This window comes from Homo sapiens, chromosome 12 (assembly GCF_000001405.40).
Source record: "Homo sapiens chromosome 12, GRCh38.p14 Primary Assembly".
In the NCBI taxonomy this organism is placed as follows: Eukaryota; Metazoa; Chordata; class Mammalia; order Primates; family Hominidae; genus Homo; species Homo sapiens.
In genome coordinates, this window is record NC_000012.12 from 129,038,720 (window position 1) to 129,051,589 (window position 12,870).

At 41.1% G+C, this 12,870-nt stretch overlaps 1 annotated feature.

The window, feature by feature from the left end:
- Window positions 11,292–11,492: a silencer, noted in NCBI's record as "peak2046 fragment used in MPRA reporter construct". NCBI's record gives its function as "represses an SCP1 promoter by STARR-seq MPRAs in K562 erythroleukemia cells {active_cell/tissue: K562}" and the evidence as "EXISTENCE:reporter gene assay evidence [ECO:0000049][PMID:32103011]".

A 12,870-nucleotide genomic window follows, 5' to 3' on the forward strand; every position in this document is an offset into this window, starting at 1 on the left:
AATTAATTTTTGTATAAGGTGTAAGGAAGGGATCCAGTTTCAGCTTTCTACATATGGCTAGCAGGTTTTCCCAGCACCATTTATTAAATAGGGAATCCTTTCCCCATTGCTTGTTTTTGTCAGGTTTGTCAAAGATCAGATAGTTGTAGATATGTGACATTATTTCTGAGGGCTCTGTTCTGTTCCATTGGTCTATATCTCTGTTTTGGTACCAGTACCATGCTGTTTTGGTTACCATAGCCTTGTAGTATAGTTTGAAGTCAGGTAGTGTGATGCCTCCAGCTTTGTTCTTTTGGCTTAGGATTGACTTGGCAATGTGGGCTCTTTTTTGGTTCCATATGAACTTTAAAGTAGTTTTTTCCAATTCTGTGAAGAAAGTCATTGGTAGCTTGATGGGAATGGCACTGAATCTTTAAATGACCTTGGGCAGTATGGCCATTTTCACGATATTGATTCTTCCTACCCATGAGCATGGAATGTTCTTCCATTTGTTTGTATCCCCTTTTATTTCATTGAGCAGTGGTTTGTAGTTCTCCTTGAAGAGGTCCTTCACATCCCTTGTAAGTTGGATTCCTAGGTATTTTATTCTCTTTGAAGCAATTGTGAATGGGAGTTCACTCATGATTTGGCTCTCTGTTTGTCTGTTATTGGTGTATAAGAATGCTTGTGATTTTTGCACATTGATTTTGTATCCTGAGACTTTGCTGAAGTTGCTTATCAGCTTAAGGAGATTTTGGGCTGAGATGATGGGGTTTTCTAGATATACAATCATGTCATCTGCAAACAGGGACAATTTGACTTCTTCTTTTCGTAATTGAATGCCCTTTATTTCCTTCTCCTGCTTGATTGCCCTGGCCAGAACTTCCACACTATGTTGAATAGGAGTGGTGAGAGAGGGCATCCCTGTCTTGTGCCAGTTTTCAAAGGGAATGCTTCCAGTTTTTGCCCATTCAGTATGATATTGGCTGTGGGTTTGTCATAGCTAGCTCTTATTATTTTGAGATACATCACATCAATACCTAATTTATTGAGAGTTTTTAGCATGAAGCATTGTTGAATTTTGTCAAAGGCTTTTTCTGCATCCATTGAGATAATCATGTGGTTTTTGTCTTTGGTTCTGTTTATATGCTGGATTACGTTTATTGATTTTCGTATGTTGAACCAGCCTTGCATCCCAGGGAGGAAGCCCACTAGATCATGGTGGATAAACTTTTTGATGTGCTGCTGTATTTGGTTTGCCAGTATTTTATTGAGGATTTTTGCATCAATGTTCATCAAGGATATTGGTCTAAAATTCTCTTTTTTGGTTGTGTCTCTGCCAGGCTTTGGTATCAGGATGATTCTGGCCACATAAAATGAGTTAGGGAGGATTCCCTCTTTTTCTATTGATTGGAATAGTTTCAGAAGGAATGGTACCAGCTCCTCCTTGTACCTCTGGTAGAATTCGGCTGTGAATCCATCTGTTCCTGGACTTTTTTTGGTTGGTAAGCTATTGATTATTTCCTCAATTTCAGTGCCTGTTATTGGTATATTCAGAGATTCAACTTCTTCCTGGTTTAGTCTTGGGAGGATGTATGTGTCAAGGAATTTATCCATTTCTTCTAGATTTTGTAGTTTATTTGCATAGAGGTGTTTATAGTATTCTCTGATGGTAGTTTGTATTTCTGTGGGATCGGTGGTGATATCCCCTTTATCATTTTTTATTGCGTCTATTTGATTCTTCTCTCTTTTCTTCTTTATTAGTCTTGCTGTCTATCAATTTTGTTGATCTTTTCAAAAAACCAGCTCCTGAATTCATTAATTTTTTGAAGGGTTTTTTGTGTCTCTATTTCCTTCAGTTCTTCTCTGATCTTAGTTATTTCTTGCCTTCTGCTAGCTTTTGAATGTGTTTGCTCTTGCTTCTCTAGTTCTTTTAATTGTGATGTTAGGGTGTCAATTTTAGATCTTTCCTGCTTTCTCTTTTGGGCATTTAGTGCTATAAATTTCCCTCTACACACTGCTTTGAATGTGTCCCAGAGATTCTGGTATGTTGTCTTTGTTCTCATTGGTTTCAAAGAACACCTTTATTTCTGCCTTCATTTCGTTATGTACCCAGCAGTCATTCAGGAGCAGGTTGTTCAGTTTCCATGTAGTTGAGTGGTTTTGAGTGAGTTTCTTAATCCTGAGTTCTAGTTTGATTGCACTGTGGTCTGAGAGACAGTTTGTTATAATTTCTGTTCTTTGACATTTGCTGAGGAGTGCTTTACTTCCAACTATGTCAATTTTGGAATAGGTGTGGTGTGGTGCTGAAAAGAATGTATATTCTGTTGATTTGGGGTGGAGAGTTCTGTAGATGTCTATTAGTTCCGCTTGGTTTAGAGCTGAGTTCAATTCCTGGGTATCCTTGTTAACTTTCTGTCTTGTTGATCTGTCTAATGTTGACAGTGGGGTGTTAAAGTCTCTGATTATTATTGTGTAGGAGTCTAAGTCTCTTTGTAGTTCACTAAGGACTTGCTTTATGAATCTGGGTGCTCCTGTATTGGGTGCATATATATTTAGGACAGTTTGCTTTTCTTGTTGAATTGATCCCTTTACCATTATGTAATGGCCTTCTTTGTCTCTTTTGATCTTTGTTGGTTTAAAGTCTGTTTTATCAGAGACTAGGATTGCAATCCCTGCCTTTTTCTGTTTTCCATTTGCTTGGTAGATCTTCCTCCATCCCTTTATTTTGAGCCTATGTGTGTGTCTGCACGTGAGATGGGTTTCCTGAATACAGCACACTGATGGGTCTTGACTCTTTATCCAATTTGCCAGTCTGTGTCTTTTAATTGGAGCATTTAGCCTATTTACATTCAAAGTTAGTATTGTTATATGTGAATTTGATCCTGTCATTATTATGTCAGTTGGTTATTTTGCTCATTAGTTGATGCAGTTTCTTCCTAGCCTCGATGGTCTTTACAATTTGGCATGTTTTTGCAGTGGCTGGTACTGGTTGTTCCTTTCCATGTTTAGTGCTTCTTCCTTCAGGAGCTCTTTTAGGACAGGCCTGGTGGTGACAAAATCTCTCAGCATTTGCTTGTCTGTAAAGTATTTTATTTCTCCTTCACTTATGAAGCTTAGTTTGGCTGGATATGAAATTCTGGGTTGAAAATTCTTTTCTTTAAGAATGTTGAATATTGCCCCCCACTCTCTTCTGGCTTGTAGAGTTTCTGCCAAGAGATCAGCTGTTAGTCTGATGTGCTTCCCTTTGTGGGTAACCCGACCTTTCTCTCTGGCTGCCCTTAACATTTTTTCCTTCATTTCAACTTTGGTGAATCTGGCAATTATGTGTCTTGGAGTTGCTCTTCTCGAGGATTATCTCTGTGGTGTTCTCTGTATTTCCTGAATTTGAATGTTGGCCTGCCTTGCTAGATTGGGGAAGTTCTCCTGGATAATATCCTGCAGAGTGTTTTCCAACTTGGTTCCATTCTCCCCGTCACTTTCAGGTACACCAAACAGACGTAGGTTTGGTCTTTTCACATAGTCCCATATTTCTTGGAGGCTTTGTTTCTTTTTATTCTTTTTTCTCTAAACTTCTCTTCTCACTTCATTTCATTCATTTCGTCTTCCATCACTGATACCCTTTCTTCCAGTTGATCGCAGCGGCTACTGAGGCTTGTGCATTCGTCACGTAGTTCTCGTGCCTTGGTTTTCAGCTCCATCAGGTCCTTTAAGGACTTCTCTGCATTGGTTATTCTAGTTATCCATTCATCTAATTTTTTTTCAAAGTGTTTAACTTCTTTGCCATTGGTTCAAACTTCCTCCTGTAGCTAGGAGTAGTTTGATCGTCTGAAGCCTTCTTCTCTCAACTTGTCAAAGTCATTCTCTGTCCAGCTTTGTTCTGTTGCTGGTGAGGAGCTGCGTTCCTTTGGAGGAGGAGAGGAGCTCTGATTTTTAGAGTTTCCAGTTTTTCTGCTCTGTTTTTTCCCCATCTTTGTGGTTTTATCTACCTTTGGTCTTTGATGATGGTGACGTACAGATGGGTTTTTGGTGTTGATGTTCTTCTTGTTTGTTAGTTTTCCTTCTAACAGGACCCTCAGCTGCAGGTCTCTTGGAGTTTGCTAGAGGTCCACTCCAGACCCTGTTTGCCTGGATATCAGCAGTGGTGGCTGCAGAACAGTGGATATTGGTGAACCGCAAAGGCTGCTGCCTGATCGTTCCTCTGGAAGTTTTGTCTCAGAGGAGTACCTGGCTGTGTGAGGTGTCAGTCTGCCCCTACTGGGGTGTGCCTCCCAGTTAGGCTACTCGGGGGTCAGGGACCCACTTGAGGAGGCAGTCTGCCCATTCTCAGATCTCAAGCTGCATGCTGGGAGAAGCACTACTCTCTTCAAAGCTATCAGACAGGGACATTTAAGTCTGCAGAGGTTACTGTTGTCCTTTTGTTTGTCTGTGCCCTGCTCCCAGAGGTGGAGCCTACAGAGGCAGGCAGGCAGGCCTCCTTGAGCTGTGGTGGGCTCCACCCAGTTCGAGCTTCTTGGCTGCTTTGTTTACCTAATCTAGTCTCAGCAATGGCAGGCGCCCCTCCCCCAGCCTTGTTGCCTCCTTGCAGTTTGATCTCAGACTTCTGTGCTAGCAATGAGCAAGACTCCGTGGGCATAGGACCCTCCGAGGCAGGTGCAGGATATAATCTCCTGGTGTGCCATTTGTTAAGCCCATTGGGAAAGTGCAGTAGTAGGGTGGGAGTGACCTGATTTTCCAGGTGCCATCTGTCATCCCTTTCTTAGACTAGGAAAGGGAATTCCCTGACCCCTTGCGCTTCCCGGGTGAGGTGATGCCTCGACCTGCTTCGGCTCGCGCACGGTGCACTGCACCCACTGTCCTGCACCCACTGTCTGGCACTCCCCAGTGAGATGAACCCAGTACCTCAGTTGGAAATGCAGAAATCACCCATCTTCTGGGTAGCTCACGCTGGGAGCTGTAGACCGGAGCTGTTCCTATTTGGCCATCTTCGCTCCTCCTGCTATTGTTTATAAGAATGAGCAATCAAAACAGGCATGTACCACAGTTTCTTAATCTACTTGTCCATTGGCAAACACTTAGGGTGTTTCCATATCTTGGCTATTGTGAATAATGCTCATTTTTGTTTATAGGAGATCAATTTATGGTATCTTCTCTCTCTCTGTCCTTCTCACTCTTTGCCATGGGGTGATGCAGCAAGAAGGCCCTCCTCAGATTCTTGTCCCTCAGTCTTGGATGTTCTAGCACGATCACTAGGTGAGGTCTCACAATAGGCCATTTGCAAGCTGAGGAGCAAGGAAGCCAGTCTGAGTCCCAAATCTGAAGAACCTGGAGTCTACCTTCGAAGGCAGGAAGCATCCAGTATGGGAGAAAGATATAGACCTGAAGATAAAGCTAGTTGCAGCAGACCCCTTTCTCTATCACAAAGTGTCAGATTAGTAAGACTCATTCTTGGGCACAGATGCCCAGGGAAGCCCCTTGAGGTCATTCTATGAATGAAGTAATGTTGCCTGCTGAAATCATGAAAAGCAACCCAGGAGTAAGTATATCTCCCATTGGCAAAAACTGCTCAGACTTCAAAGCACCCCATTCTATCACCATTGCAGAATCTCTATGGGTATGTGACTGCCCCAACCCCATTCAATTCTAAAATTTCCATGGCCACAAGCACTCCTTTTGGTTATTTAGTAAACACCAGATACTTCAGGCATGTTTAGGGGGGACTGGGGACAAAATCACAATATATAGTTGATGCTTCATTATTCTCTATTAGTAGATAATGAAACATCTATTATCTACTGCTGTTTACCTCTTTGGACATTTTTTAGCTCATGATTACTTAGATGAGAACAAGTTTTGAAAGGGAGAGGATGAAGGGAGGAGTTGAGTCTTTGGGGAGTGTGGTCCAAGGAGGCAAAGGGGACTAACAGGCAGGTGGGAAGGTGTGGCCGGTGAAGAGTCTCACACCATGGATGGCATTTGCTGTTTGAAGGAAAGGCACTCAGCAGGAAAGGCTAAGGAGAAAGACCCCTTCTGCTGTGAGGATTTCAAATCACACTTGCTTCATTTTACCCAGTTTGTAGGTGGTAGAGAAATAGGGAGATTTCAGGACCAGGCAAAATAATATTTGTTTCTTCTGCTTACAAGAATTATTGGTCAGGTGCGGTGGCTCATGCCTGTCATCCCAGCACTTTGGGAGGCTGAGGCAGGAGTATCACTTGAGGCCAGGAGTTTGAGACCAGCCTGGGCAACATAGTAAGACCCAGACTCTACAAAATATAAAATAAAGAAGTAATTGGGTGTGACGTGTGTCTGTAGACCCAGCTACTCTGGAGGCCAAGGTGGGAAAATCACTTGATCCTGGGAGGTCAAGGCTGCAGTGAACCATGATTGCACTACTGCACTCCAACCTGGGCAACAGAGCAAGACCCTGTCTCAAAAAAAAAAGGAGAAAAGAAAAATAATTCTTTATAAATCCAAAAAGGCAATTGCTAATAAGCCATTTCAGAAATGAACCATAGACCTCTCGTTCTAGTGTGAAGAGAGGCCAGTGGACATTTAAATTTGCCCTTTTTCTTGGTAATAGCATCCTGGCCTTCTTTTGGGAAAGCTCTCTTCTTGCATGGGGCCTCTAGGCCACCCCCAGGAGGGGAGGTGTGGCTCCTACCTAACCAGTCAGAAGATAGAATCTAAATGGCCATGGAGATTGGTTCAGGGATGGGCACATGACTCTTGTTAGCCAATGAGGCTCAATTCTTGGACATTTCATGGAAATGCCAAGAGGAGAGAAGCTTTCTTTAGAGAATGAAACCAGGAGAACGTGTGTTGAGGCTTCTGGGGCAATTACCATGTTGGAAGAGGCTTCCTGAGAGTCATGCCATTTCAGAGGAAAGCTAAGCCAGACGGCAAAAAGAATCTAAGTCTTGATGCCCTCCAGACACCGTTTTATTTTACATGTGACTATGAATTTCCTTTTCTACTTAAAACCATTTGACCCAAGATTCTGTCATTTACAACTGCCTAGGTGTATCCTAATAAACGTAGGCATCATGAGTATCATTAATAGGAAGTTGAGGGTTGTTTTCATCAGGAAACAGAACAAATGTAGATAGATAGATGCCTCCAAGTATGATCACGCAAGCCTTTGAAAAATAATTTCTTAATAAAACAAGCAACAGTTTTTTCTCCACAGTTCTGCATAAATATTGATTAAATTCTTCCCAGGCCTTATTTGGTCTGAGGCCCACACTTGTGATTCAGTATTGTATTTTCAACAGACATTTAATAACATGTTAAGAGTCTCATTGTTACAGACTTTTCTTCCTAGTTGATGCTTCCTGATGACATAGAGAGGCATTTTAATCTCATCAATAACTTGTCTCCAAGCTGTATTTTCAGGAAGGTTTGCTTTTGGAAGCATTCCTGCAGCCAGTTAATTCCATCTGTGGGATGTAACTTACTATTATCTCATGGATTGACCTATCATTTCTAGAAGACTAAGGGGCTTATATTTTGGGGTTCATCCAAGGTTCTTTGGGTTGCCAGTGACAGAAATGGACTTTGACTAACTTGGAGAGAAATGGGCTTTATTAGAGGGTATCTTACAAAATGGGAAAGTAGAATGAAAACGAGACTTAAAATGGGCAGGAGAAAACCAAGGTAGCAGAGCAGGAATAGGAAATAGAAACCAATGGCTGGGCTCTTGAGGGCACCAAGGAGATATCCTTTAGTGGAGGAAACTAAAGCATCCTGGTTGAGAGCTTCACCAGACTGCGTCTGACAGGGGAAAAGTGGCTGCCCCAAAGGAAATTTGGAATATTGTTGCCAGAAAAAGGTGGAAAAGTTGCTGACAGCAAAACAGGAGCTGACTACTCCATCCTCTTTGACCTCTTGGTTGACAGAGGGATTGCATTCAGAATTTTTAATAACTAGTATGAGCACTGACAAATCAGAATGGAACTGGCCGTAAACATCTGGGATGCCCCTGTTGGTGTACGCGAGCTGAACATCAGTCACAACTGCAGGTAGACATAGTTTTCACTCGTAAAGAATTTAGTTTTCTTTTTCTGAAAGCTGGATAAGTAAAAATAAAAAACACTGGTTTCTTATTTACATTGTCTTTCCTTCCTATACATTCATTTCTGGATAATTTTGGAACCAGTGTGTCTAACGAGGAGAGCCTTGGGCTAGGAATTCTGACATTCTGTCATTTCAACTCTTCGTCTTCAGCTGGGTCCTGCTGTCTTATCTTGATCTGTTTTCCTACCATAAATGTGAGGCTGGGGACCTTTAAATTCAATGAAATTCAATTCCTGTTTGCCTAGCATATCTCAGCCACAAGTGACAAATTTATTAACTGTAAAAAAGCAACAGTCTCTGAATAAGACAGCTGCTTGTCTTTTGGTTGTTTTGTTAGACTGAGAAGCAAGATCGCCCAGAACTTGAAGATTTCAGTCTCTCACATTGATAAAAGTTAAAAGTACACACATGGGCTTCCTGTTTAGCATTTCTGCTGTCAGAGCCAGCTTTAGTTAGATGAAACCCCTCCCCAAAACAAAGCCAAACACTGTCTCTTTTCATCTTAGGGAACAACAGCTTAATTGCCTTCCCCATTTAGTAACCATTTAGTAACCAAATACATTGATATGTTCATTAATGAAATGTTTTATGCTATTTGGATTCTTTGAGAGGAGAAGAAAAAAAGCTAACCCCAATCTATAAATCAAGTTAAATAATTTCTATTCCCTTCTGCAGGCAACTTTTTCACACTCTCTGTGTGTTATATTATCTGTGTGAAACAGACGCTGGCAGAGGGAAAAATGACAGGACATTCTAAGCTAATTTAATGAAGTAGCTCCAAATATTGTATCAAAATAAATGAAGTGAATAATGCAAGAGCTCATTGTTGGGTCTCTCTACAACAGTAACCATTGTGTGAGTCACACACCAGAGGCAATTCAGACGGATGGCTGAGTTTGAAGGTGCCACTGTAACATATTACATAGCAAGAAACAATAGGCAGCCTCAATTGCTATATTTAATTTCAGTAATTATTTGAGTCCAGGAACTGAGAAGAAATGGGAGAGTAGTGAAGAAAAGTTACAACCCTTTCATGTTTAAGTTTTTGCTTTAAATTTAATGAGATAGCAGCAGACCTGTTTTTGCATTTTAACTCTTCTAGATCTCTTGGTGGACTACCCATGGGAAATGTTTTTGCTCTAGGGAAGAACATTGCTCAGAAGCTAGTGCCTCTCATTCCAGTGGGATTTTGTCATTTTTTGACTGTTGAACACCAGTGATCCCTTTAAGAGAGTTGGAAGCTGAAGGTGTGAGATTCTTCTCACAGCTGGGTCAGTACAAGGCTAGGGCTTTGTCAACCTGAGTCTTCTTCAGGAATTCTGATTCTTGAACCAGAAGTGCGGGGAGGCTGGGGGCTATAGGAGGTCACACCCATGGCAGGAACAGAAGTGGCTTTTGTTTCCTCTGCTGTGGTATCCAATATCTCACTCTTTGCTGTTCCCTTGGTTCTGTTCATTTCCCAAGCATTTATCCCCAGTCATTTGTTCTCTGAGCCTCTCATCTCTTTTCAATAATGAGTCAATTTCTGTTGCCTGCAACCAAGAAATCTGGCCATCTCCAACAAGCTTTGTAGTGGCAAATGCTGTTTATTTTGGCTCAGACAAAAAAAAAAAAAGCAAGGTAGCTTATAAACATCCTGAAGGGGCTTGAAAATAAGAAGACAATGTTCAACGACTTCATTTAACTCTTACTTTATTGAACTGTTCTAAATAGTTTATATCTACTCAATCCTCACAACTATATTTTGAGATCGTTCATTATTATTCCCATTTTACAAGTTAGAAAGCTAAAGCAGAGGGATGATAAATAAATTACTTTGGTATATAGGACTGGAAGGAAAGGGCCAAGAATTGAACCCTGGTAGTCTGGTTCAAGTTTGACCTTTTAAGTGCCACATTCTATTACCTCTACAAAACAATAAAACTACCCAAACTCAAGATGATTGCAAACCACATATCTGTCAGTGGGAAGAGTCTCTTACCGTGTGGCCACAAGAATAGTGGTTGATTTGGTGGATACAGCTGATTTTGGTGCTACTGCGGTTCCCTAGACATCCCCCAAAATAAAATACCTGAGAGTAATTCTACTTCCCTATTGCCAATTGTATTTATACTCCATACTATAACATTAATATAGCAAAGTAGACTAGATATATTATTTATTTTGGGAATAGTGGAGAAAGTATTTGCTGCTTTTAGCAATAATCTGGTGGCCATGGCAGTTCTGTGTAGGTCCTGGCTAAGCATGCCATGCCCAGTCCCTCTCAAGCCCTGTAGGATTTGAATTCTTTCTGTCTTAAATAGTTCTTTCTTAAATAGTTGAAGCATAACTTTGCATAGGTGATGCTTTGTCATTTTCATATAATCTGTGGACAATATAGGGAAATACCTATAATCATACTCAAAATGGCATGTGAGATTTAGGAGCTGTGGTTTACTAAAGTCATTTTTGAAACCAGGAAAGGGATTTATGAGGTTGCTACCTCACAGCTACTTCAGAGTAACATAGCTGGGGCTGCAAGAGCCTTGGTAAACCCCATTTGAGACTACCTGTAATCCTGGACAGACAGAACACCATTTCCCACGGGGAATTAAGAGACTGTAATTAATGTCCTCCTGACCAGACCTATATAATCCTTTGCTGACAGTATATCATTTGTGCTTCAGAATTTGTAACTAGCATAAGATTTATGCATCAAATTGCTTTTTTTTCTTTTGATTTTCTTTCCTTTTTCTTTCTTTTCTTTTCTTCTTTGGAGGCAGGGTCTTGCTCTGTCTCCCAGGCTGGAGTGCAGTGGCGTAATCATGTCTCACTTCCGCCTCAACCTCCCAGGCTTATGCAATCCTACCACCTCAGCCTCCCATGTAGCTGGGACTACAGGCATGTACCATCATGGCTGGCTAATTTTTTAATTCGCTTTGTTGCCCAGGCTGGTTTTGAACCCCTGGGCTCAAGCAATCCTCCACTTCAGACACCTAAATTACAGGCATGAGCCTCCAGACACCCTGGAATTACAGGCATGAGCACTGCACACTGCACCCAGCCAAAGAACTTTTTCTTAATTCTTTTTTTTTTCTTTTTTTTTTTAATAAAGCCTTAACCTCTGTTCTTCATGGGTCCACTTAAGCCTTGCCTTGCTACCTTCTCCTCAAATACAGCTTTTGGAAAAGCTTAGCCAACTTCACCCTGATCTGGCTGGCTTGAAAATAGAATCCAATTCATCTCAAGTGGTCTTGATCCTAAACTCCTCCTTTTCAGAGCAAGGGAAAATACCAGAGCTTGCATCTAAATGGGCGGGAATAGCCTTGTTTATTCTCTAGTGAGTTAATCAGCACCATGGACAGATCTACCCATCAGCCCCTGCCTTGCTGTGGTAATGACCAAGTTGGGTGACTTCTGGGCTCAGCCTTGGTATCATAAATGCATGGTCACTACTCACCCAGCACAGTTAACAGATTGAGAAGCTGCAATTAATATGATAACTTTTCACACAGGACATTTAATCTATGGATATAAATGACAGGAAATATGTATTGTTTTCAGCTGTGGAAAACTCTGAATCACTTAGAAGTTGTAGCCTCACTTGAACAGCTGAATGCTTTGTAAACAAAAATGTAAAAAGAGGAAATTAAATTGGGTCCTCTCTGTAGTGGGCATATAGAGATATAAGTTGAGTTTGTTACCGTGTGTGCGAGAGTGTGCAGGCACACCACGTCTGTGCATAGGGTGGGGGTTACGAATGCAGGCTCTGGGGCCAGGTGCACTAATTTCATAGCCCATATCTGCTGTGTATGAGCTGTATGAACTTGGGGAACTTCCATGGCTTTTATGAACCTCAATTTTCTCATTTATAGATTAGGAATGGTAACATTTGCCACCATAGGGTAGTTGTGAGAATGAAATATGTGAACTATCCTTGATCAGTGTTTGGCACATAGTGCTCAATACATTTTGCCTATTTTTCTTTTTTTTCATATTTATAACATACAGTTGTTTATAGTTTATATTATTATCACTATTGTTATATTGATAGAACTATAATTTAGGTTTAGGAAAATGCACAGAACTGCATATTTTTATTTTTGTTAAAATTTGTATTTATTTTTATTTTTGAGATAGGATCTTACTCTGTTGCCCAGGCTGAAGTGCAGTGGCATGATCTTGGCTCACTGCAATCTCGACCTCCTGGGCTCAAGTGATCCTCCCACCTTAGCTTCCCAAGTAGTTGGGACTATAGGCATGCACCACCACAGCTGGCTAACTTTTGTATTTTTTGAAGAGACAGGGTTTGCCATGTTGCCCAGGCTGTTCTTGAACTCCTGAGCTTAAGAAATCTGCCTGTCTCAGCCTCCCAAAGTGCTGGGATAACAGGCATGAGCCACTGCACCCAGCCTACAAATGTTTAAATATGTAACCACTCCTGAAACCACCACCCAGATTAAGATATAGGACATTAGCAGTACTCCTTGAAGGCTTTCTCATACCCCTTCTAGGCAATATAACCTTAACAGTAACCACTATTTGGACTCATATCATTATATATTATTTTGCCTGTTGTTGACCTTCCTACAAATGCAATCATATAGTATATTGCTCTTTTGTGTCTTCTTTTGCTTAACATTGTGTTTGTGAGCACTCAATTCATTTTATCTGTTATTTTTATTTTAACCACACTGTCAAAGAGTATAACCTCCTTCATTTATTATTTCCTACAATCCCAACATGATTTATTTGTTAGATAGCTGCTAAGAATTGCCTATCTGAAGGTTTCACATACAGATTGAAACTTCCTGATTCTTCTGAAAATTTCAAAAG